At 41.8% G+C, this 27,789-nt stretch overlaps 1 protein-coding gene and 1 long non-coding RNA gene across 2 annotated transcripts, besides 2 other annotated features; one reads left to right on the forward strand and one right to left on the reverse strand.

The window, feature by feature from the left end:
- On the reverse strand, nucleotides 3,175–27,789 carry NDP (norrin cystine knot growth factor NDP). The gene is made up of 3 exons (NM_000266.4): nucleotides 27,703–27,789; nucleotides 12,871–13,251; nucleotides 3,175–4,425 (listed from the first exon to the last, which is right to left on the reverse strand). The coding sequence occupies exons 2-3, from the start codon at nucleotides 13,042–13,044 to the stop codon at nucleotides 4,198–4,200; spliced, it is 402 nt and encodes a 133-aa protein (NP_000257.1). The 5' UTR covers nucleotides 13,045–13,251; nucleotides 27,703–27,789; the 3' UTR covers nucleotides 3,175–4,197.
- Nucleotides 3,808–4,325: an enhancer, noted in NCBI's record as "H3K4me1 hESC enhancer chrX:43808655-43809172 (GRCh37/hg19 assembly coordinates)". NCBI's record gives its function as "activates a minimal SCP1, AML or CMV promoter by ChIP-STARR-seq in primed H9 embryonic stem cells {active_cell/tissue: H9 hESC(primed)}" and the evidence as "EXISTENCE:reporter gene assay evidence [ECO:0000049][PMID:30033119]".
- NDP-AS1 (NDP antisense RNA 1) lies at nucleotides 4,131–25,951 on the forward strand. The gene is made up of 6 exons (NR_046631.1): nucleotides 4,131–4,479; nucleotides 7,718–7,801; nucleotides 8,915–8,947; nucleotides 15,184–15,293; nucleotides 23,859–24,019; nucleotides 25,844–25,951. It is a non-coding gene; the product is annotated as an NDP antisense RNA 1 (long non-coding RNA).
- Nucleotides 4,326–4,842: an enhancer, noted in NCBI's record as "H3K4me1 hESC enhancer chrX:43809173-43809689 (GRCh37/hg19 assembly coordinates)". NCBI's record gives its function as "activates a minimal SCP1, AML or CMV promoter by ChIP-STARR-seq in primed H9 embryonic stem cells {active_cell/tissue: H9 hESC(primed)}" and the evidence as "EXISTENCE:reporter gene assay evidence [ECO:0000049][PMID:30033119]".

The following is a 27,789-nucleotide window of genomic DNA, read 5'->3' on the forward strand; positions in this document are numbered from 1 at the left end:
CAATGAGACTAGATGGCTTAGATCCAAAATGAATGAATTTCTTTCTTTTTACAGATCCATAAATATATAAAATTTACTGTTGCAGGCTTGGTTCTCAAGAGTCACATACTGAGTTAAAGTTTGTGGTGCAGGATATTTATTAGGGATCAGCATCCATAGAAGACAAGTGGGGAAGCAAGCTTAGGTAGAAAGAGGAGTGCTCATTAGAGTTGTCCTTCACTGGGCCAAGATAGCCAGGCCTTTATACCCTGGCCTTCGTCAATCACTGGATATGAGCCATTCTGGAAGAGCATGTCCTTGGGCAAGGTGACTCCTTGCAGCTGAGGCCGTTCCTGAAGGGGTTGACAGCTGAGGCAACCCCTTTTTAAGGGGGATCTGGCTGGTGCATCTCTATGTTTGCCATAGTCATCAAATTTAAAATGTTCTGTGCCCCACATGAGAAGACGGCATAGAGCACAGGATGACTTTAATCAATGAGACATTTGAAATTAGATTTATAATTGAATAAAAGAAAAGGCTTGTACTGTCATAGATTTATGGTAGAATATACCAAAAATTAATGTACTGAAGACTTACAGAAAAACAAAAGGCTCTAACATTGATTTGTTGGCATGTGATGCCAATTTCTTATGAAATGCTGTCTTTTAGCAGGTGTTGCTGAGTACCTTTTTGTGCGTTGAAACAAGCAAAGAGTTCCTCCCAGAGTGTAATGATGCAGTGATGGGAAGAACTCTTCCCAGATTCAAGTCTCTCTACTGTTCTAGCTCCTGAAGAGAACAGGTGTGTCTGTCCACCAGGAGGTGTCTGTACCCTAGAGTCATGACGAGTGCAGCATCAGCGGGATATGGCTTCCCTTTCTGATCTAAGCTTTCTCACCCCTACCCACCCCTCAGCCCCAATACATTTGGTGTTTCATCTTGGGCAGCTCTCTTGCTCAAGTGTATAGGTTTCAGTGGTGCCCAAAGAAGTGAACAAAAGCAAACCCATACCTTAATTTATTCAAGGTCACAAAGAAGAAATCAACTTACTCAGTTTCCCAGTCATAACGTGTATGCGACCTGCTCTACCTAACACAAAATAATGTGTTGGGTGGACTAGCAAACACAGGAGTTTAGAAGAAAATCAACCACTATTTCCTCAGGACCTAGAAAGGTTGATTTGTCCTTCATTTTGAGCTTCTGGGGATAGTTCAGGAGCTTATGTGTATTAAGATTTAAGGTATTGGTCTGTAAAACTGGGATGTCAAGAAAATCAATTAAGTTCATAAACCTATCTTCCACTGCAGTACTAACTCATTATTATTAAATGCTTAAAAATGATGAGGGCAAGATCAGTTTACAGGAGGCTTGCCCTCCACCATTATAGATTATCAGACAGATTTCTAAGAGGTAAGCTACTAAAATTATAACATACTTTAATTTTCTCATGCATAGTAAATGGGGAAGCAAATGAACACTTCTTAGACATTCCAGGAGTAATGTTTTTAACTGATCAATGTTTTCATTTGGTTGTCTCTCAATCCTTAGGGGTAGACACCAAAATAAGGCTAAATATGTTTAATTTTTAAAAGATAGAAAACAAATTCCATAGTAACTTAATATCCAGTAATGTCTGAAATCTCTCAGTTCCCAAGGCTATTTTTAGGTCTTTAGGGAAAATATAACTATTTTTCCCCTTTCTCAGCCTTGCTATTCCCCTAAACTTTACCCTGTCTCGCCACACTCTAAGATCCTGAAAGGAGCCAGGCTCCTTTCACTGGTGGCAGGAAGGAAATTAAAGCAGTCAGGGTTGTGAGGAGCAGGAAGCGTGGGTTCGAGTTCCAAATCCAAGAGTGTCTGTGACTTTCAGCCAGTTCCTGGATTTCTACAGGCCTCCATTTGCTCATGTATTTAAGGAGAGAAGAGGATGTATGCTTTCTAATAGTTCTTCCAAGGCCACTGTCCTGTGATTCTTTAATGCTCCAAGTATATTCTGCTCATTTCCATGGGGGAAACTTTGTCAATAGACCATGTAATGGGATTTGAAGGGACTATTTTCTATGGCTTCCAGAGAATTTGGAAGATATGAGTCATATAACTGCCCCCTGTAGTCCCAAATTGGTAGAAGGAAATAAAGACTAGAGTTTAGGGTATAGATTATAGATTCTCAAAGAAAATTGAGTTTTTAAGGCCCAGAAAATACTTTTTAAGGCTGGAAGTATTATTTTTCACTTTTTGATTAGCAACATGAAAGAACAGTCATAAATGTGACCAACAGTTAATACTTTCATTATCAGTTAAAAATTATAACCATTTAACTTTCAGTATTAAATTTAATTCCATTTATGACAAAATTCTTCATGTAATGGTCCAAACTGCCATTTCGCATTTGCCTTCAGAATGAGGAGAACCTCCAATTTAGGAGACTGGCTGGCTGTGTCACCACAGAGATTAAGATCAAGGTCAAGATTTAATAGCATTAGTTTCATTCTGTTTCAAAGCCATGAATACAAGTATAACCCTGCTGGCTTTCTTAAGAATGTGTGAAAGCTGTGCCAAAGAGTGTTCAAAACCATTATCTCTACTGGAAAAGTAATTCACAGGTTGGCTGTACTAACAGTGGGGGAGTTAATATCATCTCTAGTTAACCAGGACAAGGTTGCCCTGGAAACTGAATTGCCAAGTCTGGATTTGTATTGAGATACCTAAGAGGGACATAGCACTGTGCTAACATCATGAGTATTCTTGTAATGCCCAGTAATATCATTCGATCCTGAGCACTGCACAGTCAATGGCACAGAAATGTTGTTAACTATTTGTCCTTCTGCTGGTTCTTCCAACTTCACTTATGGATATTTATTTTCTTCTGAGAAAAGTGAAGAAATTAAAAAGGAGGGGACTCCTCTGTTTCATTCCATAGCTTCCAAGGAAGCCAAAATGCATTAGATTTTGTGTTTATTCAATGGGCTAAAATCTAAAACTCAGAGTCAAATTTAATAAGCCCTCAACACCTTGTTACATTGATTTCAAAAAAATGTTCCCACAATGCATTCTGGAACCCCATTTCTGTCTCCTTTTTTTTTTTTTTGACTCTTTTACTATATCATAGGAGATGCTCAAGCACTAGCTACATGTATGTTCTAGTCCACATGATAGTAGGATATCAAGTAGGAAAAAAATACTTAAACAGTCAAAATTTTGAATATACTCTTTTTATTTCAAAACGTGGGAATAACTCAAAATTTGAGCCTCCAGGACCAAAACACATTTGAACCAAACGTTCAGAAGACAAGCCAGGCCACCATTTTGGCAACATGTTTCACATGGACAAGTGGATATTAGAGAATGATGCCCGTGACACGGCTAAAGCTATAGCACACCCACAAATAGATTCATACTTGGTTGTCTAATTTGCATGCATGAGTATGGTGCATTCTCCATGCCACTAGTACATATATGCCTTTTCCAGAGTCAGTGCAGGATCCGTATTTGTGCAAGTCTTTAAAAGTCTGCTCCCTTACAAAATTTTACCATAATTTATCTGAGACAGCCTTCCTGTGACAAATTCTTTATGCTGCTTTTACTTTCAAAAAGTCATTTCTGAATAATAATTATAGCTGTCAAGAGTTCCAGCATCACATAAAAGAATCTGTTTGTTAGTTATTTTAATGTCAGTTCGCTGGCTGTGAGTAAACGTAGCTAAACATATCCACATGCTTGGTATCTGGACTTTGAAATCGGTAACCTTTAGCAGCAATGGCAACCTTAGACCAAAATGACAAGGTAAAAAAAAACATCAACAATAACAGAAGATGTCCCAGGAAAAGCTGGGCTTTTCTACTTTCCAAAGTAAATTCTTCCCCAGCGTGCACCAAACACTGACAGCCTGACACGCTTGTGTATGAGGGCCCACTTTTTCCCACTAATGCTGAATTGTTGGAAACCCAAACAGCATTGAGAGCCAAGGGGGAAAATGCCTGAATCTGAAAATGAACCAAAAGAAATTGTACCAGAGAAAGGAGATGGGAACTGCAAAGAAGTTCCCAGAGTATCTCTCTCTGTCAACAAGCATGTAGAGTCTTTATTACTAGAATATGCAGAGTCCCGGGAGAATTGTTGCATCCTTTTTTGCCTTAACTCTTTTCTTGCCAGTCTTTCCCTGGCTGGTCGAACTGCCTCTACAGTTGTCCCATCCAGAAGCCACACACAGCAGCGGGCCTCAGGAATTGCATTCCTCGCAGTGACAGGAGAGGATGTACCGGTAGGTGGCAGTGAGTCGCATGCCCCCTGAGCATCGCAGCCGCAGTGCCTTCAGCTTGGAAGTCTGGGGCCGGCAGCAGTGACAGGAGGAACGGAAGGGTTGCTTGAGGACAGTGCTGAACGACACCAAAGGCTCGGAGCGTGACGCCTGGCTGCAGTGCCCCTCGCACCTGGCCAGGAGCACCATCTGGGGAAAGAAAAGGAGGTGGTTACTCTGTGGGCATGCCACAACCTTAGCCAGGTAAAACAGCATCTTTTGAAAGACCCTCACACTCGTTGCCAATTCCTGCTAGATTAGACCAGTGGCTCAATGCATGTTGCATTTTTTTTAAGTCAACACCCAGGCCTCATTCAGATCGATTGAATTAAAATCCTTGGAGATAGGGACCAGGCTTTCATGGTTTTCAAAGCTTCTTAGGTGATTTCTAAGTGTACTGAGGGTTTAGAACCACTGAATGACGCCCATCACTGTGATGTGCGAGTAAAAACCAAAGAACAAAAGAAATTTCTCCTGACAGGTAGTGGTCTACCACTGGCCCAATGCATTGCAATTCTACCAGTAGCAAAATGCAGAAAGTCAATCCAAATTGAAACCAAGAAGTAAATTAAAATGACTACCAAAAAAAAAAAAAAAAAAAAGAAATTGATTTGTGCAGGAAATAGCTAAAGAACAGGAATATAGTTTCTGAATAAGAAAATAGGATAGCCTGAGTAATGCTTAGGAAGAAATATTCTGGGTGCTGCAATTTGGGACAAGAGAATGAAGTAGAGACAGGGCATGTCTGGGGCCCTGAAATCACACTTCTGGGTTTATATGTTGAAGGAGCCTGGGATTTATGTAATTGCATCCGCATCTTCAGAGTCATTTGCGGCAAATATTAGGATGTACCCATTCTGATAATCTCTATTTCCAAAGATTGGGCTGGAATAACGGAGGCTATGTGTTCTTTATAGTAGCTCTTAATCTGGCTTTAGCAAACAGACACCTTTAAGAATCTGATGAAAACTACCAAAGTTATCCCCAGAAAAATGTACATAAGCACACACACAATTTGCATACAGCTTAACGGAATGGAAAAAAGGATCATTTATGTATCCCATACAAAACTCCTGGTATCCTGGGAGTGGGAGTAATAGGTGGGTAGGGTGGGACAGCTTGACTCATTAAGCTGCATAATCCTAATATCAAGGTGGGGAGGGGAATGGAGAATCTGAGATTATTGGTCCCATGGTTATGTAAGAGGTTTTGCTTGGTGAATTTCATGTTAAGTGATGGAGAAAAAAATCCCCTGGGCCAGGTGTATTGTCTCATGCCTATAATCCCAACACTTTGGAGTCTGAGGCAGGAGGATCACTTGACCCCAGGAGTTTGAGACCAGCCTGGGCAACATAGCATGACCGTGTCTCTAAAAAAAAAAATAAAAAGTTAACCAGGCGTGGTGATGTGCACCTGTAGTCCCAGCTACTTTGGCAGCTGAGGCAGGAGGATCACTTGAACCCAGGAATTAGAGGCTGCAGGAAGCTATGATCAAGCCACTGTACTCCAGCATGAGTGACAGAGCAAGGCCCTGTCTCAAAAAGAAAAGAAAAGAAAAGAAAAATTTGTCCTATAATTCCAGAACCAACAGCAAGATCATAAAAAGTGAAACTGTTCAAATGAAAGATTAAAAGATACATATATATGCATGAAACCTTTTGACGTTTACCTTACAATATTGTAGGAATTCGCAGTTATTATTAAAGACTCACCAGCTATTATCTCTGACATCATCCTGTAGGGCAGAATTAAACACCCAAGGTTTACAAGAAAAAAATAGCCAGTCCATCTTTCCAAAAGGGAGAAAAGATGAATTCTGGTAATTATAGATTATTGGCATAGTTATCTGAGAATATACTGGGGCTAAATCCAACAATCACTTAGCAACCACCAAGGCAATATGAAATACTAGAAAAAAAAAACAGCAGGGCTTAGGGAAGAATAAGTTGGACTAGACCAGTGAATTTATTTTCTCTGAATGATCGCAGAGGCAGAGAGAAAATAGCAGCTGTAAGCTGTTTTGATTTTTTTAAAGCTTTTGATTCTATCCTACCTGCTCTTCATTTTGACAGGCAAAGTAAACTATCAGAAATGATTGTTTGTTTGTTTTGTTTTGTTTTTAGAGACAGAGTCTTGCTATGTTGTCCAGGCTGCAGTGCAGTGGTTATTCACAGGCATGATCATAGCACACTACAGCCTTAAACTCCTGAGCTCAAGGGATCCTCCTGCCTCAGCCTCCTGTGTAGCCAGGACTACAGGCATGTACCACTGTGCCTGGCTCTGAAATGGGTTTTGAGAGACTATGCCATAGGTCAGTAGTACACAGGCTAGTCCCTAATTCCCACCCCCATTTCTCTAATGAGAGAGAGAGTCCAAGATCTTCCTTAGTCTGTTCTCCCCCCATCTCCCTGTATGTGGGAAGAGCTGCTTGATACCTCACCTTGGAGTAGTGTTAAATTTGCTAATCTCTCATCTAGATCATCTATTAGGTTGACTAAGCAGTTATTCACAGAGTCACCTTCCGTGATGGAGTCTTCAGAGGTGCAGTTTCAGTCTGGGTGGACAAAGTAAATCTGTGCCAACGAACTTAACTCAGAAGGGCCAACAATGATATGGGACATAATATCCAAGTGATGTATACACAGGTGAACCAAACGTAGGCCTAACTGACTGGGCCATTAGCACTGTCCATAAAATGACCAAGTCAACAGCGTAGGGCCATTTGTAAATGAGCTCATCTGATTGCAATCTCACTAAAAGTTTTCAGGATGTCCAGCTCCACCCCCAGCCCACTCTGAAGGACAAGAACTCCAGGCACTGAAGGACGTGGGGCCACCTCCAATGGGCTGGGCCCCTCTTCCTTGGGAGCTGGACTGTTTGTGCAAGAAGAATGCACAGACATGTACAATAAATGCCTTCAGTAGTTCAGAATAAAATCCAAAATCTTGAAGAGGAGTCAAGGCCCTTCATGACCCAGGTTTCACATGTATTTCCAGTCTTACTTACAACTATTCTCATCACTCTACTACCCACTCCCTACTCCAGTCAAACTTAACTACTTAGGAGTCCAAGAAAGTGCCCTGAATTCTCCTGCCTCTTGCCTTTGCTTATGTCTTCTGTCTCCCAAATATGTCCTTTCCACCTTGCTCTGCCTAATAAAATCCCACCTATCTATTCTCTGTAGCCAAATTCAAATGCTCTTTCCTGGAAGAAAAGACTATGAAGCAATTATTGAACCATTGATGTTCTCAACACACACACACACACACACACACACACACACTCCTAGAAGGAAATCTATCTCTGTTTTGTGTGTTGAAGTGGTAAAGCAGAAGTTTGAAAGATAAGATCCTTAAGGGATGGAAGGAATAACCATCTGCTCTCCTGGTTTACTCTCAATACTTCACATTTTAGCTTCTGCCATGCCTTACTTGTGTTTCAGCACTTGAACATCTCCTGATCTCTTCCGGATCAGAGCTTCTCAGACTGGAATGTGCGTGTGAATCATCTAGGATCTTGTTAAAAGGCAAGTTCTGATTGAGTAGTTCTGGCCTAGAGCCTGAGATTCTGCATTTCCCATCAGATTCCAGTTGATGTCAGTCCTACTGGGCTGGTGCCCACACTTTGAGTAGCAGGTCTCTGGACCCATTCAAGTTTGAGGGCTGTGCTCTAGATGAATCACTAGATAACCATCATTTCGCTAATAAGAACATTTATTGAGCACTTGCAATGTGAGTTATTTCATCCTTACAACAACCCTACAAGAAAGTACTGTTATGATCTACACTATTAGGACAGATAAGGAAACTCAAGCTTTAGAGAGTTCCAGTAACTTGCCCAAACTCACATAGGTGGTAAAATGCAGAGCTGGAATCAAACCAAGGTCTATCTGAAACCAAAGCCCTGACCTAAACCAGTATAATACCTGCCTCCTGATACCATGTTTTCCTCAAGCATATGCCAACTCACAGACTTCCTTATCTACATTGATTTGCCTCAGAAACCCCTGACCATATCCATAGACATACAAGTCTAACTTTTTCTTGTGGGCTTCTTGGGACATTAGCTTCACCATCCCCAAGCTTATGCAGAGCTGAATCTTCCAAGAGCCTTGACTGACCAGATGTCACCATTAGCATCAGAATAAAGACCCACCTGTCCCACCCTAGAAGAGCATTTTTGCGATTTTACTCCGACAGAGTGGAAAAGTATTTTGCCTTTTTCGCAGCAGTGAACACTATGCACCCTTATTTCCATGGCACCTCTTGAAACACCCTCTATAACCTCAGGAACAAGATTCACCCATGCTTCTTCTCCCATTCTTTCCCCACGGGCAGCCTCATAACTCCGCTCATCTTCAGGGACCCAGGTCAACCTCCAAAAGATCTGTGCTAGGCTGAGGGCACCAAGAAAATTGCAACCAGGGAACAAAGCAGCAGAGAGATGGTGGGGGCTTTGAAAGGGTGGATGGGAACTCAGCTCACTCCAACTAGAAACTGGTCCCTTCACTCCGGTCATGAATCAAACAGATACAAACTGATCTTTGTGCACAGAACACCCCTCCTCCCTCTCTCCCCATTTTCTTGTAAGCATCATGAAGGCAAAAAAATTGTCTCTTTTTTCTTTCTTTCCACTTTAGAGTCTCCAGCACCTTCCACAGCACCTGGACATGGTAGGCACTCAGTATAAATTTGTTCCTTTTAAAAAAATCAAATTATATCTCTCAAGAAGTCTATTGTATTATAAACACAATTTTCCTGACTCCCTCCATTTCTCCTATCACACCATGAGCTTGGTGGGTAGCAGTAGAAGATGGCTTGGGGGTCCTGTTAGGAAGCTGTTAGGACTCAGCCCTTAGCATACCAGGTCCTCTTTTCCTAGGTTTTGTCTCCCAAACCTCTTCCTCCTTATCCTTTGTTGTTGCTCTTCCAGTTCCCCACCTGCTCCTGTGGCCCTTACCGGTTCAGATAGTCATGCCCTGGTTCCATGCCCTGGCCTGGGGCCAGCATCCCCCACTCCTCACCCAACTGAGACTTTCCAGGTCTTCCCTGCCAGTTTGCTTTCCCACCCTCCATTCCTGAAATCCCCTCCCTGGCCCAAGTCCAAAACTCATCCCCCTCCAGCCCCTCCTTCCTCCACTCATCTGGGAAGGAAGGTTAGACAGATATCGGGGCTGTTTCTCTTTTACTTTTATCCTCCCTGTTAGCACCCAGCACAGTGGCTTACATTTACTTTGCTCTTCTGCCCCACCCTGTGCTTAACAAGAACTACAATAAGGTTCATTTTCCTAATCTTTTAAGGCTATAGGAGATCCCAGCAGTTATTGAGATCTCAGTTGTGACTGAAATAGAAAATTGAGTCTAAACACCTGCTTAGTTTATAACTTTATCATCAAGATCATAATATCTTCTATTAAATGGCTATTATGTGCTGGACACCGCTGGATGCTTTACAAATCACCAACACCCATACCCATACCCTCAGGTAGACAGCTCTATTTTGCATGGGAAGAAACTGAGGCACAAAGAAGGAAGTTACTGAACTTCCTCAAAGTCACTCATTCGGCAAGCCATGGAGCTGGAATTGGAAACCAGGTCTCTCTCACTTCAAAGCCTGGCATGCCTCAGTTCTCATAGAGATTCCACCAGGCAGTCTGTTTCCACTATCAACTGGTCTTTTGCCTGTTTGCTCTACAGCCTTTACTCCAAATTTTAGAGAAACTTAGTCTTCCATGAAGATTATAAATGAACCTGCTACTCCCAGGATCTTTTGTACCCAAACCCAGGAGGTGCCACCACTTAAAACTATCAGGCACATCCTAATCTGTGGCCACACTGTCCTCTTTGGTGGGCCACTGTGGCCAGTCTTTTCTGCCTGACTCCCTCTCAGTCCTTTCCGGAATTGCTAGGAGATGGGCAGCAGGGACCTAGGACTGGCCAGCTGCAAGTTCAGGGCTGGGATGAACAGTCTCATTGAAAGCTCCCAGAAAGGCTTTCACTATTATTTATTTTTTCTAGAAACATTGCTGAGTATAAATTATTACTGCCAGCAGATCAGAAGCAGAGCCTGAACTTCTATGTGATGGCTCCTACATTCTACTTGTGTTCCTCCAATATGAAGATCCAAGTAGTGGGAAGATGAATGCTGTAAGGCAGACATTGCCACTCCCTGGCTATATGATATCAAGCAATCTAATTATTTTGGGCTTCAGTTTTCCTTACCAGGATAATGGGAATAATAATGCCTGCCATCACAGGTTTCTTGGCAATGATTATAATATACAATATGAGGTGCCTGACACATATATTAGGTGTTCAAGCAGGTACACTCCCTTCCCTGAGCCTGGGTCACATTCTCCCTTTCTTGCCTTTACAAGGCCAGATAATGGATAAATGTGAGTCAGAAAGCATTAACAATTGGCAGGCAAACAGTAGGCACATGTTTAATAAATAATGACCCTTGAACATGATGTCAAGGGATAATTTTTATAGAGACAAAAAAATCTATCCCAGTCTTTTCTTTGTAAAAAGAAGCTAGGGTAGATTGTTGTTGCCTCTTTTCTAGACATAGGCTAAATGTTTTATCCAAGTCTCTAAAGGCAAACAATTTCATTAAGTGAGACCCATTAGAGAAAAGATCAGCCCGAGAATGTAAGAGTTAAGAATTATAGAACATTTCCAAATGAAAACAGTTTTGCTCCTGGATACATAGAGAAAAATCTAACCTAGAAAAGGTCTGGGTAGTTGAGATTTTGCCAGGCATATTTTATGGCCAGGGAAGAAAGGTTTATAATTGCAAGCACCATTTACATAAAACTATTGCTATATTTGGGATAGTTTGGGATGTTTGAAAACAGATTGTTCCCATGAAATTACAAACATTTCTCCTGCTATCACAATTTTGCGCTGTTATTTGCCATGGCTTTCTGGAAGAAACAAAGGTGAATAACAGTACACTAAAGTCTGTTTCTAAGACTCATGCTCAGAATTCACATGTGAATTTCTTCGGTTTGAGTTCATGATGTCTCTTCTTTGACCTTCGCTAGATTAATGTGATTGTTGCCAAAGTACTCCTCCATCATTTTGTCCAGTCTTTCCAGATTGTTTTCTAGTTTTTATAGATGCTCCTATTTCTTTGTTCCTTTCTATCATCATAGTGACACTTTCTTTGAAATAATTTTAATTCCTTTTTTTAAAAAAGAATCACGATTATGGAGGACAACTCAATACGGAAAGAAATTATCCATGGAATAAAATCACTAAATATTCATGCTGTCTGTTTCTGAAGGGGGAGGGAAGGAGAAACTAATAATTGCTGCAGTCAACCTTACATGGGCCCACAATTTCTGAGCAATCACACTTGTAAAAGCACTTCTCATGTTTTTTCTCAATTTGTTTTAGTTTCCCTTTCCTAAGAAGGAATTGTGGCCCTGCAAAAATTTATGTTCATCTATTTACTCCATTTTTTTTTGGTTCTACAAGCACAAATAAGAGCCAGAAAGTTTTTATTAAGTGGAAAATCTCTATTTTTTCCCACAGTCATAGATCTTATTAATATAATGGTTAAAATGATTTAACTCGAATTCTGATCCTCCTAAACTAAAATGAATCATCATCACTGAGCTATAATCAGAGAAATTAATGGAAATTTTCAAGGCATACAAAAGTCATAATGTTTTTGAATGGAGAGTGGAGGGATTGGCTTATATGGTCTTAATTCTGGTGATTGATACTATAAAAAATTCTTAATTATACTGGTAATTTCAAAAATTACTTGCCATACGAGAATGTTTAAGTGATTTTCATCTCAAAACTAAATGTAAAAATCTCTGAGGTTGGGCTAAACAAATTATTATTTACCAAGTGTGGACAAATTTCATTCATTGTGCCTGTTTAGGGGCAGTGACAGTCGTGAGATCTCGTATGTTCCACCCTACAATGTGCCTCCCTTCTGGGTGGTCCATGTAGCTGGCCACTCTTGGTGGCCTTTTAAGCATGATATTCCCTTGCACACCACTGAGGCACGGACTGCCTCTGCAAGAAACATGCATCCTTTTCCAAATGAGAACGATTTGGATAAGCAATGTAAAAATGATAAATGATCATATTGCCATCTTATCTTTTGAAATCATTTGAACAGAAATGTAGCACCTGAAGAAAGGCTCAGACCACAAAGCCAGTTATTTCACCAAGAATCTCTTTAAAGAGCCCTCCAAGAAGTATGTTCCACTGCTCAATCGCATTCTTTGCATTCTCTTCCTCTTTATTGATGATGGAGCTAGAGAGTTATGATGACTTGTAAACTCCATTTTTCTTTTTTGGAAAAGCACACTACCACTCATAAACATCACAGCCAGGGACAAAGGACACCTGTCCCACTGGATGGGTGTGCACATGATTGATTAGGCACTTTTACTGATAACAGTGCAAAGCACGGGGGGAAATTCTAAAAGCCTCATTCTCCCACAAGCCCTGTGGGCCAGCCACATCACTTAAGTTTGGGCTATGATCTTAGTTCTCCATCCCCTGACAAAGAAATATGGCTTCTTGCCTGTTTCTGAGGGAAATGCTCTCCTCACAGAGACCTTGGTCTTACCTTTGAGCTACACTTGTACAATGGGTGACTGATAGAATCCACATAGTGGTGCCTCATGCAGCGTCGAGGGTCCGAGTCCATTATGAATGAGCTGTCCGTTTTACTGTCTGTATCTCCCATTATCACCAGCAGGGAGAGCATAGAAAAGGATGCAGCTAGTACATGTTTTCTCATTGTTGTAAGGAAAAACTTCTCTAGAAGAACAGCAGAGGGAGGCAGAGGACAAAAAATTGGAAATGGCTTCACCTCCTAGGATCCAGTCCCGTTCAAGGAAAGGGCAGGATCGGGCTGAAGCTTTCTGGTTGTCATTGTCCTTTATGTGCTGGAGTTTTGTCTTACTCTTTGCACTTGCAATCCATCATCACAGTATCTGCTGCACAGCTGGAATGAAAACAGAAATTACTTTCCCCAGAATTATTTACCCAGAACCACTAATGGAACCCAGGAGGTATTAAGTAGAATTTTTCCATGTTATTTTGAGAGGAGAATATTGGTTTCTAGAGCGTCATTAGCAAAGGCTGTCATCCATTCCACCCCAACTCCCATAGCTTATGCTACATATTTATAACCATTTGGAGGTGGACACAATGGTTTAATGGAAGCACATGTTGACTTTAATTGCTGAAGTCCATGTTCCTAGGGCCAAGAATAGTTTGAACCCATGTTAAAGATTAAACATGTTGTTCTGGCAACAACGTAACCGAATTGGGTGGTCTCATCTTTGTCCTTGGTTGGTCGGGGCGGGAGGGTCTATTCAGTTTCTCAGCAAGCTTTGGTGTCAGCGTCAGCTTACAGGGCTAGAGAGGAGGCAGGTCAGCACTAATGAACACAAGCCATGTCCCACAGGGAAGCACATTTTCCATTTCCAAGTCCATACTCACCCACCCACCTAATTTTCCACTTCTGTGCTCTAGGCTCATCCTGTTTTTGTTTTAAGCCCCATAGCACCCAGCACTGATGACAAACTGCATCTGAAATACACATTATGCTAACTGGCCTCCAGCATGGTTAAGGTATCACACGCGTATTTGCCAACAGAGTCACATTTCTGCAGAGCCTTTGTAGCCTGGGCACATGGTGTAATTCGAAAAAGAAAGCAGTTGTTGGAACAGACTTACCATTAAAATAGGATCATATTATACCGGTTTTTCTGAAATTTGCTTTGTTCTTTTGACCATACCTCTTGGACAAAGGACTGGGGTCCAGAGATCTCTCCAGATTACCTCACTAACTCCCCAGGCATAGCCAACACTGGTGCCTTCTTTTTTTTAACCACAACAGAAGACAGAAAGTATCAAAAATATTTTCAAACATTTAGGAAAATTGGGAGGGCCTGCTATTACATCCAAAACAAAAGGAACATGATAATTAAAGCTTCGGGAAAACTTTCAAAGGTATTTCAGATAAAAGTTTGATCATTTTGTTCATAGGCAACATTTTCCTTAACTTCCTACTCATGAACAGTCTGAATAAACAGGGCAAAGTGTTGATAAAATCAAGATTAGGAGTTCAAGTTGGCATAAGCCAATTTATTTTGCACTAATAGAATGGCATCAGACCCATTTAGCCTCAATTAGCTGTCTTGGAAGTGTGAGGTAGGGGATCCTAAGTGGAAAGGGGTGTGTGAGATAGGGCTGTTTCAGAGCACAGAATCCCTGGCAATAGCAAAGCCTCAGCACATGTGCCTCAGGGAAGTCCTATAAATTGCAGGAAGGGCAAGGACCAGTAATGAGGGAACCCACCTGGACTTGAGTCCTGGCACTGCCATTAATTAGCTGGGGAAGCCTTACACAAGTCATTCAACCTCCTCTAGCCCAAGTTTCCTCATCTGTAGAGGGAAGGAGTTGACAGAGATGGCATCTGCTGTCCCTTTGTGTTCTAAAATGCCACCACTTGATAACTATGGATTCAGTTACTATCATCTCCATATGCAGACAGTGAGCCCAAAGTTGACGAGACCATATTCCAGCACAACTTTGCACCACTTTATGTTCATGCTAATAGCAACATCTCATTGAAATAAATCAAACCTGTGCCCAAAGTTTCAAATCTGCAAAGGATGCAGAAGAGCATGTTTGTTTTCTTTTCATCTGCATAATCTGGGTTTTCCTATACACGTTACCCTGAAAATTACCAAGACAACAACTCAAAGAGCCAGAACTTTCTTGGGGTCCACTTTCAGAGGATGAAATATTACTGACCATTTCCCAAGTTTCACTGTGACTAAATTATCCCAAGTGGTTATCTGTCTCTTTGAAGCCTTAATTAGTGTCAGAAAGAGAATTGATTAGATTTCACTGCTTCGGTCTACAGATATTTCCCCCAGGAGTCAATGGCAAAAGGATGAAGAGAGAAGCAGACATTCCAGTCCTGGCCCTTCTTCTGCACTGCCAGCAACTTCTCTTCAGAGCCATGGCCAGGAGGTATGGTTAAATGAGCAAAGCAAATTAAAGAACATCATGTACAGCATGATGGCAAAAACAAGCTACATCAATAACAAAACCCTATACATGTGTATGCATCGTTGTATTTATTGGCATTTCCACTTTCTCCACAGAAAAAGGAAATATAAAGGGCCCTTAAAGATAGAAGAGAATTTAAGAGAATAAAAGTCTCATTTAAGAGAATGAAAATTAAAGTACTTTGAAATACATTGTTCAACCAATCAGATTTACAAAGATTCCGAAGTCTGATCATGCACCCTATTGGCAAGGCTGTGGGAAAACAAGTCCATTTTGGAGAAAGTTCAGTATAAATTGGTCCAAACTCTGTAGAGGCCAATCTGGCAATACCTTTTAAAAATGCAAATGTATATAATTTAGACCCAGCAATTCCACTTCTGTGAATTATCCTACATGTGAAATCACATGAGCACATGGCTGAAATAGCATAAAATTGGAAACAGCATGAAATATCCATTAATAGGGGACTGGTTAATTATATTCTAAAATGTTCACACAACAATATACTAACCAACTATATATGGAAGGATGCAGAAACTCTATGTATTGATTTGAGTTAAAATGGAGAGAGATAAAAACACATATTTGTATAGCAAAGCTCTGAAAGGATACCCAAGAAACTAACAAAATTAGTTACCTGTGGTAGTTGAGGGACAGGCATGAGAGAAAGACTTTTCACTATATATCTTTTCGTATTTTTAGATTTTTGAGCTTGTGAATGTATACTTTATTTAAAATTTCATTAAAAAATAAGGCTTTCTCTTTTAAAAGCTCAGCTTAAATATGGTAACTAAGTTAATGGATGTTTACTGTTTGTGCCAGTTTGAGTATTTTAAAAATATTATATTTTTATTTCTTATAATTACGGGAAGGCATGCTAGTCTCTTAGTCAAATACTCTTCCAGGGCGACCACATAGTTCTTGTACATTACTGCCACCTAGTAGCACCATCCTGAATTGCAAGCACAGTTTAAAATTTTTTCCTAAAAATGAATAAAACACTTTGCAAGCAGATATTATGACATTTACACAGATAAAGAGATAGTTAATGTCACATACAATGTAACTTGATCATCTGGCTTTCTCTTTAGAGATGGTGAGCTGAACCCAGAAGTAATATTAAAGAATGAAAGATTGACAGGAAATGTTGCTTTACCATTAATTCTAAGAAACAGATTTTTCATTTCAACACACTCAGAAAACGTGAGAGTTGTTGCCCAGTTTTTATCTTAAATTCTGAAATAAGAATGTAAGCAACAATGTAAATATGCCACAAAACTCACAGAACCCTCAAAACAAAAACAAAAAGGTAAGATTCTGAAAACATAACCTGGGATTTTTTTTTTTTTTTTTGCCTTGAGTGTTCAAATTGAATGAACCAACACTGTTGTATTGAAGAAGAAATGAAAACAAAGCTTAAGAAAAGAGCAATGCTAAGTCAAGTTGTCAACATTGTGTTGCTCAGGGTGTGCATAGGTGAGAATGTGCAAAGTATGGGAGTGGGAGGAAGACCTCACAAAGAGGAAAATCAGGAATTAAGAAAATGTACACCACTGAGATCACCACTTTCTGGCAGCCTAGAATTATCTCTGCCTTGTAGCAGCTTCTGTTGTTTTCTCAAAACTAAATTAATTCCAGTTTGCCTTAATTTTTTAAGACGTGTCATAAAATCAAATGCTGCCTACGAAGACTTAGAACCTTGGCCCAGGCAATAATGGATTGAACAAGAGAATGACTCTCTTGCTGAACTCAGTAGCCCTGTGGCCACGCTATGCTCTGGATACAGTCTCTGAGACATGGACTTGGCCGACGTACAGAGCCCACATTCTAATAGCTCCAATGTGGAGCCTCTGCCGGCAGGAGAGGCACGTAGGCTGGCGTGCCCGACTTTGGAGCTACCTTCCAAATGATACCAGTGGAAAAGAACAACTGGTGCCCAGATTTCCCCACCTGTCATCCTCAGGGAAATAATATAGCAGAGCTTACAGCGGGCCCAGCCTCCTGGGTGAGAGATGGTGTTGTGCCCACAGATCAGCTCACTCTTGGGCTGACCTTCTGGCTGGCAGAGGGTAAAGTGCTGGTTTCACGCAAGTTATCTCAGCAACAGGCTAAGTGGTATGTGCCAAGAATGGCCTTATTCTTGCCTTGCTTGCCAGGCACAGGAGGGTGGTGCTTCAGTATCCATATTTCCCCCTAGGCTGTTTTCAATACTAATGTATACTGATATTCCCTTCTGTGGCTTCTTTCAACAAATATTTTTTAACATGTATTTATTGAGCACCTACTGTGTGTCTCCTTTTGCTCTAGCAGATAAGAGATAGGGTCAGGGGAAAAATATAGTTCCTATCCTCGATCCCTCTTCTAGCTCACTGACTCTGCAGGCAGAGTCTTGGCCTGTTGTTTTCCTGGATGGTTTTTAGACACATTGATAAACTCTCTGAACATCTAATTTGTATCCAGTATTCATTGCATCATTTCTAAGAAGACCAAGTTAAGCAAATAAAATATAATGACCTTGGAATGGAGTCAGTATATCAGCCAGAATTACTTGATATTTATTGTAATTTTTTAAAAAATTATGGTATGAAGCATAAATAAAGTGAAGATAGTAGAACATAAAGCCTCTATCAAAGAAATTGCAAAAACATCAAAGATTTATAAGTGGAAGAAAGCTTGCTAGATAACCCTAGATAAAACTTCATACAGTACTAGGATCAGAAAAGCAAGAAACTCTAGGTCTAATTTAGAAAGTGTGAAGTGTTAAGTAGCCCCTTCCCAGGAACTCAAAGGATTCCAATTGGATCTAGTCAACTAGATGCCTTGGAGAATAAGTCAAATGCCTCTTCCCAAGGCAGTTAATTTATAAACTGTAAACAGCATGTTGGATTTTATAAAGCATCCTGTGCGTTCAATGAATGGTTTTTAATATTCCTAGCTGGCAGCACATCAGTAGCAGCCAAGGAGCCAAGCCTGGGCTGACCCAGAGGCAGCGGCACTGACTGCAAATGCTGCTAGGCCTCCAGCCTGCCAACTCCAGGTATCTCCAAGGATGGGCAGGCAAAAGGTCAGTGGGGAGGAAGCAGTTCTTGCTCCTTTCATCTCAGAGATAGGCACATTTCATGTGTCTAATCCAGTGCAGGGGTGGTGGGGGGGTGAGGGAATAAAGACAGCAATGACCGTCCCCAGAGTGCTACCTTAGGAGAAAAAAGACAACATTCTTGTGATTAAATAATAGTCCTCCAGTCTGTGATAGGACTCTGTGTTCTCCCAACCTGCACTACTAGCCAAGTGTAGCCAAGCTCAGCAGTGGGGGTGATGGAGGAAGAAAAGAGATGGGAGAAACAAAAAGGATGGAGGAATATGGCCAGGGAAAGAGGCAATGAATTACAATCCTGGGGTAAATAGGAGTGCTAAACTGAAGGACTAGAAATATAAATAATTTGGAGGGTGGGGAGATGAGCCAACTGTCAAATGCCCCCACCTATATGTATGTCCTTGGCTTGAAAAGTTTTACTGTCTGAGGAGGGACTGGAGTGGGAGGACTCGACCTTGAGCCTGACTGAAGCTTAAAATCCTGACTTTTTTTTTCAGGCATTGTCAGGAACTCCAGAAAAACATCTCATTGTTATCCAAACTCCCACTTACCTACAGCTTTCATCTTTTCCTCCCTAGACCCATTGGTCGCCTATGTTGTTAGTGTTCCGTGTCCCTATACTGATTTGAAAGAAATATGGGATAACAATTTCACTGCATTCTGAAACTGATCCTCAAGCCCTGAGTCCTACCCTCCCATCATTGGCTGTGTGATCTTGAACAAGTCACTTGCCTTTTCTAGGACTCAATTTCCTCATCTGCAAAATGAACAGATTGGTCTAAATGCTTTTATGTGTCTATCCATTTCTAACAGTCTCCAACTCTACCCAAGCTTCTCAGAGTACAGCCCCTGCCTTGGGGCTACATATTCCCCAAAGCAATCCTACAAAAAGAGTTCCCTTCTTACTTAAGGAGTTAATGATTGCAAAAAACTTCTAAGGTGGTGTCTGATCCAACACTGAAGCCCAAGCTATAAGTATTTGCCCCTTGATGAAGCTATATTGGTGGCCTGAAATAAAAACAGCCGTTAATAACCATTTGACTGAGTGCTTGCCATGTACTAAATAGTTTCTAAATTAATAATATCCTGTTAATCATAGGAAGTGGGCCAAGTGCAGCGGCTCATGCCTGTAAACCCAGCACTTTAGAAGGCAGTGTTGGGAGGATCACTTAAGCCCAGGAGTTCAAGATCATCCTGGGTAACACAGGGAGACTTCATCTCTACAAAAATAATAAAAAAATACTAGCCAGGCATGGTGGTACACGCTTGTCATCCCAGCTACTTGGGAGGTTGAGGTGGGAGGATCACCTGAGCATGGGTGGTTGAGCCTACAGTGGGCTGTGATCGCATCACTGCACTCCAGCCTGGGCATCAGAGTGAGACCCTGTCTCAAAAAAACAAAAGTTAACAGTAATATCAATAATAATAATAATAATTTGAAGTAGTGAGGATATTTAACCAGTTACTATTTCTCTTAAAACTGTCTTAAAATTTGTGGGGTTTCTGTCCAGTACCCACCAAAGCATAAACGGGGAGAGAAGAAAGGCTAATATTAATAAATCATGCTAGGATTAGACTTCTTGCATTTGATAATGACAATATAGGCTGAGTTCCACCCTCTTGCACCTTTCTTTTGAAAGACGCTTATTTCTTAACTGAGCTTGAGCCACAGATCCTCGTGCCCTAATGGGACAATCTCTGATACTCTGGTTCAGGATAGAAGAGAAAGATTGATTAGAAAAGTTGTCTTCTCTGCAAGTAGAATCAGTAGTCTTGGGGTCAAGAGCGAGGCCCTGTGCTTGGTAAAGTATCTACTACAGAGCTTCTCTGCTAGGGGAGGTACATTCCAGAAGCCCTGGGCTGAGACTTACGTCTAAAAGAGTTGACCACTTGGTATGGCACTTGGATCCTGTGCTGAGTATCTGTGGGCTTCTATGGCCCACAGATAATCAGAAAAGAGTCATTCTGAAGAATGGAAAGACTCATTCTGAGTTTTTAACAGTTGACATAACTAATTGACTTTTAGAATACAAATCTTGCATAAATTGGAAATGACCAAGTCAGGTTACCCAAGTGTCAGGAGGTACTTTTCTGTTGAAGTCTTTTCCTCTAGGGATTTGATTATTTCTGTAAATCCAGCTACCCAAATAAAAGCTGTGACTGAGATGGGGATGAGCTGTCAGAAAATGCTTAGGGGTGGCCTTTCTATAGTGCCACAAATCAACAGTAGCCCTAAACACAGAGTCCTCTTCTATCCTTTCTTCAATGGGGAATTAAAGTAGGGAGAGAGCAGGTCATGGGAGAAGTAACAAAAGAGGAGGAGGAGGAGGAAGGATTCATTTTGAAGTTCAAAATCTGCCACTGCCCTTTCAATTTTTTCAAATAGCACAATTTCAGTCAGGGAAGGATCCCTTCATTTCACCCACTCCCTCCCAGGAAGGGGATTTTTTATGAGGAATGAGACACACTCTACTGCTCACCTTACATAAGACCCTTTAGAAGGAAAATAGGAGAGTTCCGAGACACCCAACTCAGAGGACTCAGTCTTGCCAAAATGCATGAATGTACATTCTCCCTGTGGAAAAGAAAAGGTGCCAGGTGTTCTGGGGATACCTGTGCTGAAACAACTAAACACTTGTTCTGCTGCTGTACTGCTGGCTGTGGTATGGCCTCAGGAGGAGAGGTGACCAATGTTAGCTCAGGGTACAGGCTCTCTTTTACCCTAGAGCCAAATGAGCATGTTGGCCTTTCTTCAAAGAGTGCAGCAAAGTGTTTCCAAAGCTGCGTTTGAACCTCCTCACCCGCAACAACACTTTGGAATGGTGGGTAGTGATCTCACCTAACAGCTGTAGAGCCCTTAGTTAGGAATGGGGCATAAACAATAGGAGCAACTCAGTCTTTCCATTCCCCATTCAATTTGCCTTTTCTGCCCAATGGTGGGATTTGAATACTGAATTCAATCCCGTTGCAATCCGGAATGCTCCTAGACTCAGACATATGTCAAAGGGGCAAGGTTCTCATAAAAATCACATAAAAATACGTGTCCCTATATTGCTGATAACCCTGAACTTGTTGGGGTGGTGGTTTTCTGCTTGTCTTGATTTGCTTAAACCATGCATGCTGCAGCTATGTCTATGTCTTTTGACTGCCAGCTTCCCTGTAACAATACTATTCTGCTGCCTTTGGATTCCACATCTCAAAAGAAAAATTTAAATTCTGAAAAGGAGTAATTTTTCATAATTTGGTGGGGGGCAGTGAAATCACAGCAATGCAATGAGCCCTAAAATATCCTCTCAAGTTTTAAAGAAAAATTGGACTTTGATTAAGGATTGGATTTCTTTGATTCTTTACATCCTTTATAGTTTGTGGATACAAATTATATTTGTACCCACATAATTAGGTACAAATGTGTGTACCTCCATTTTACTTCGAGTTGAAGATAGGGGATGTTTTTTCACTTGAGGAGTTGACCTCCTTTTCAGGTAAAGACAGCAACTTCAAACACCTTCCTGGGAGGGAGAGTGGGTGAAATAAAGGGATCCTTCCCTTTCTGAAATTGTGATATTTGAAAATATTGAAAGGGCAGCAGCAGATTTTGAACATCAAAAATAATCCTTCTTACTTCTCTTTTGTTACTTCTCCCCTGACCTGCTCTCTCCCTATTTTTATTCCCTACTGATGAAAGGATGGAAGAGGACTCCACGTTTAGGGCTGTTGTTGGTTTGTGGCACTGTAGAAAGGCCACCCTTGAGCATTTTCTGACAGCTTATCAACTTTCTTGAATGTCTTAGCCTGTTGCCCTTTCATTTTTAAAGGATACTGCAATTGGTTGGATCATGGCTTAAAAGAAAAAGTTGGGATTGATCCAGGCCTTGGAAGAGAGCAAATTGTCTGAAAAATTCTTAGCTTTTGTGGAAAAAAAAAAGAAAAAAGAAAAGACAAAAATGTTATCTGTTGCAAATCTTATACCCAGTTTAAAGCTACTAGTCAATGTTTATGTCCAGATTTTGCCATGAGGGTGAAATGGACCCCAACTGGATGAATTCCTGATTATGAGCACTGGGGATATGTCGCCAACGGAAGTTACCCATTCTTTGAATTTTCTGAGTCAGCACTCTTCCTAACAAGAAAGTAGTTGCTTCAGATTGCAAACCCCATCCAGGGTTTCACGTTCTTACTGTTGAAAATGGGTCTGGGGGTAAGACTCTAGTGACATATCCTTGACCATCAGGCTCTGAGAACCTCTGATGAAGGGGACAGTGCACATGAATGGTGACAAGCAAATGACTGCCAGAGACACAAGAAAAAAGCTTTGCAGATGCAAGGGAAGCTGGCATCAGAAATAATGCCATCGGCACAATCTTCCTCAACAACTCAACTGTGTGGGTGTGTGAATTTGCAGCATGCAACCTGCACAGCCAAGAGAGTACTGATTCCAGTTCCAGCCTCCCCTGCCCTGCTGCACACACATAGGGGTTTCGGAAGGATTTCCCACCCTTTGTTTTCTCCTGAAATTAAACACAGAAGTTCATGATTGCTGACCTGATGGGCGAGGAGTGGATACTACCAGCTGGAACATTGCCACTGGCAGGGGCAGACAAGAAAACAGGAATGCTCTTAATGTCCTCCCAAAGAAAACCTTTGATGGACAAAAGAGTGGTTGTATTTTTACCCTCTCCCTTCATGCTGCCAGGCGTCTTTAAATAGATCCTCTAGCCTAGGGACTTGTATGGAATAATTCATATTAAAACCCAAGAAGTGGTAGTGGAGGGGAATTGGTTCTTTCTTCTCTTTCTTTCCCTTTCTTCCTTTCTTTTTTTCTTCTTGTCAGGCTAACAGGGAAAGACTCATTTTAATTCAGCTGCTTTAAATTTTTCCTTTTGGGTCCTTTAATGAATTTTAGCTAATTTGAAAAAGACGACCAAAGCCCCCAGAAAAAGAAAAGGAATAGGAAGCCGCCTGGTGGCTTGCTGTTTAATACCTTTTGGTCCCAGGGACATTAGCAGCATCTTTTAAGGATGTCACAGGGAGGTTTACATTGAGGCTCTTAAATGGGAATCTCTAATTGAGAGGTCCACTTCCTTCCATTTGCAACTCATCAACGAAACTGTTGTTCTGCTCTTAAGAGACAGAAAGAAAGAAAGAAAAAATCCCGCCCCATCTCCAAAGCCCCATGCATTTTTTAGTTCGGATCAACCCAGAATATATTTCTCCCCTCTTTCTTTCACTAAATGGGTTTCATAAAGACATTCGGGTCTGTGCTGGCCAAATTAGAAGTCCTGTCTCTCTTTCTTTCTGTTTGGGGAGGGAGGGATGTGGGAAGGACAGACCGGGAAAGGGGGCAGGGAAGGGGCCAAGGATCCAGAGGGCTTTGTTTCAAGCCGCTTGTCTCTCCCCCGAAACAGAGAATAACCACATTTCTCTTAATGTAGGCCGAAGTGCATCCAGGCATTCCCATAGCGCTCCCACCCCAAGGCCTTTGCCGGAGATGTTCGGGTCACTGTGATGGTATGCTCGTTCCTGCCAACCCGGTCACTCCAGCCCCGCTCTCGGCAGCCCAAAGGGCAGCTAAGCCATGTGGCTGCTCCTCTCTGTGAGTGGATTCAGGCTCGGGACTACAAAAAGCCCCCCAGTCCTATCAGCCCGGCAGAGCTGGTGCCAAGAATGACATCCTGGGAATACTATGGAGATGGGGAGATCCCATGGGCTGTTCTCCCCGGATGGAACAGGACCCAAGCTGTCTGGAAAACAGGCAGAGCAAAGAGCCAGCTGACAAAGGAAGGAGCTCAGGCGAAGGGAAAAGGGGGCGGGCTGGGAGCAGTGGTGAGCAAAAGAAAAGAAAAGCCACATGCCACCCAGGAAGATTCCAGGACTGGCGGGAGGAGGTGGAGGAGGAAGGACTTGCAGGAAACAAGTACCCAGACATGGCACTGCCAGTCTAGCTGGATTCTTTTCTGAATTAGATTATGCGAAAGAAAGAAGGGAAATATATAGCCAGCCAGCTGTTCAAAGGCTTACAACCTTGCTTTTATTGTCCGGGTAAGTTGGTGAGGTGGGGCATCAGAGGAATTCCAAACATACCATCCCAGAGAAATTTTAATATGTTCCACAGTGTCATACACAAAGAGGAAATGACAGCTGATCACAGCCAGGGCAGGCCACAGCAACCCAGGCCCTGGAGCTCACCCACCCTGTCTCACAGCCCTGCTTCCCCGCTCTGCCTTAGCACTTCACAGTCTGTCCACCTGCCTTCCCATCCCCTCTGCTCCCACTGGCTGCTGGCCTAGTGCAGAGGGCCTGGGCAAAGAAGCAGTCACTGGCCGTCATGGGAAGAGGTGAGGATGGGCTCGAAGGCCGCTGGCCAAGAAGCTGAGGGCTGGCTAGGGTGAGTCAGGCACCCCAGGGAGTCAGAGGCATTTTAATCCAACCACGGGGGATTATCTGCTGATAAGGACCAAGTCAAGGACCCTGGTGATGCTGTTTTCAGGGTTTTTTTTTTCCCCCAGTAACCTAAACACGTGATAAAACACCATACTGGGTTATTTGAAAGCAACACTGTGTGGCTATGATGGAGACCTGGGTTTGGGGAAGAGTTTCCAACAGCTTCTTCCCAGGGGCCTCTTGAATTTAGGCCAGGCCCAGAGGTCATTTGTTTTGATACTGGGGGTGGGACAAGTAAGTGGTGAGGGATAGTGACTGCATCTTCCTCCATATGCATGTTTCTAATTCGATGATTCATCAAGTGGCCCTGATGTTAGCTACTGAGTAGGCGACTCACACCCATCCCCAATAGAGACAGCATATGGTCCTTTCCACAGGGTGCTCAGGAGAGCAGAGAAAGGATAAACTACTGTCTTTTTCCGGGATTCTTCTACCCAGGCTGGAAAGATCTAGCCGTGTTAGCTGTGCAAATGACGTGTACCCAGGATCTGGTGAAAAAGGCCAAAGGGGAATCCCTTAATCATAAATGGAAAGAAAACCCACTGATGAGTGAGAATCATTTCAAGTAAATCTAGAAACCAGTAGCTGTTTTAAATAATTCTTTATAACAGGAAAGTTATTGCCCACTTTACCCATTGGCAATGCCCATTTCAGTTCCAAAATCTAACTAGAGATGGCATATGGACTGAGAATTAGAGTATGGGACAATGTCTCATTCACCTTTGCATCCATCGGGACTAGCATAGCACTGGGCATCTAGAAAATGCTTAATAAATATTTATTTAAAAATTGATGAAATAAATAATTAACCAGAGAATAATAGTACTTGAATTGTGAGTTCTTAAAATAAAGATTGCTGGCCACCATTGGTGGCTATAATTCCAAGAAACTCACCACATTTTTCAAGGGCCCAGGAAAATAAATGAGTTGGAAATTGTTAAATGTATTGAAAAATGATTTATTTTTCCCTTGACAGTGTCATTGGAACTCGAATTAAGATTGAAAACTCCACAGGCACATTTCCATCTGTGGGTGTCAGCTGCTTGGTACACAGTCGTAAGAAGGCCTCAGCCAGTTCTCCCGTTACCTGAACCAAATGTATTTTAAAATAAATGATGCAAAACATTGCATTTTGTGTTCAAATACTCTCATGTAATGATCTGAATAATAGTCTAAGAAAATTGTTTTGATTCAGCTAAATGCTTTGCTAACCGCAGTTTTTTTAAAAAAAAATTACAATAAAATTTTACAGCAATGGAATCCATAGTGTCTTTTATGGCTTTCTTGACTAATGAATACCCCAAAGTTGTAAATTAACCTATTCAAATATCAGATTTTCATTCAGCGATGCTTATTGGGCTGGTTATCAGAGAAAATCAGAAAAGTTTTGCATAAACTGTGTACCAATTTGCAATGAAAACTGGCAAACAGGACCATAAAGTTTCCTTGAATTAGTAAGACTGATGAGAAGAAAATGAGCAGATATTTGCATCTGGTTTAAACGCTCAGTTGAGAAGCATTGTGCCGTCCCCGCTGTATTTGGTTGACACCCACAGCAACTCCCCATTTCAGTCATCTCTCTGTTTTCAAATGCACCTGGTATTTAATCTTATGTGTTGGGGTAATTTGCCAATGCCAGCTCCTTGTAATTAAAATACACTAATATTAGAAATGAAAAGAGACATGTTTCACAGCAGCCATATCTGTTATTAATGAGTTACAAAGAACTGTACAAGGGACTCCCATCTTGCCAAATAGCTTCCTTTCCCGCACCTGAATCTCAGTAAAGATGGGAGTCTGCCTCTCATGGAGGCTTATCTGGGTTTGTCTATTACAATGAGCCTCAGTTACTGGGCGTTCTGAGTCATTAACATTCTGTACACAATCAAACTTCCCGTCCCCCAAGAAAGAGTTATGCCCAGGCCTCCTACAGCTCAATTGTTCATTTAAAGAGAGAACTTGTATTCCAAAGTTTGAAAGAAACCTCGGAATATCCCGCAGGTAGGAGTCATTCCTACAGGTCCTGGTCTCTGTGCTGGTGGGAGCATCCTTTCCCGGTCACTCCTTGAACATCATGCTGCAGGGACGAGCTGATGACTAAAAATAACCCCCTGCAATAAGTCCAAGGCAAACAGCATGCATTTCCTCGGACTTTTTGCCCAATCAAAATCATACAGTAAATCCATCCTCATCTCCTCCCGGTGCTCCCCAATGCATCTATGGAAGCGAAGACCTGCACGCTGAAAGAAGAGTGCAAGGGAGCAGGATTCCTGCAAAGCGTGACACAGAAAGCTAGAAATAAATGTTGCCTATTGTTTGAAGTCATTCTGAGCACTCCGGCAGAGCCCTGGCAGGAGATCAGCAGCATACATAAGTAGTAATAAAAGTAAACAGTGCGCTTTTAAACTCGCAGTCTTGCCTGCGTTAATAGTGCCCCCATTGTAAGTGGGATGAGGGTGCTGGGGAAGATACTGGGCTCCATGAATCCATGTTGGCAAGTTGCTGCTTCGCAGCCCCCTTTCACGGGGTCAACTATAAGAACCATCACAAAGTTACATCTAACTACGCAGAGAGTTTGAAAAGAAAAATCTCTTTAAGTCAAACCAAAAGATATTTTCAAGCTTTTCTAGGAGGCTCCCTGCTCTGTCACAGACTTCAAAGACCCGTTCATTTAAGAAACACAATGCTAGCATGCTACAGATTAATGCAAATTAAAGTAATGCAAATTTAAGTGGTATTTAAAGGTTGTCTCTTTGTCTGAGAGGAGGATGAAATGCTCGGTTTGGAAAGAAGCGATTTCCTAGGCAAGCCGGCAGCGCTTGTTTTCCTGCTTACCTTAGGGGAACGCAGGGCTCCTTTCTTCTCAGACTTTTCTGAGAGCTAGAAAGAGGTCCTGTTACTTCCAAATGCTTTTGTTCTTCT

The sequence above is a fragment of the Homo sapiens genome, chromosome X, assembly GCF_000001405.40.
Source record: "Homo sapiens chromosome X, GRCh38.p14 Primary Assembly".
Lineage (NCBI taxonomy): Eukaryota > Metazoa > Chordata > Mammalia > Primates > Hominidae > Homo > Homo sapiens.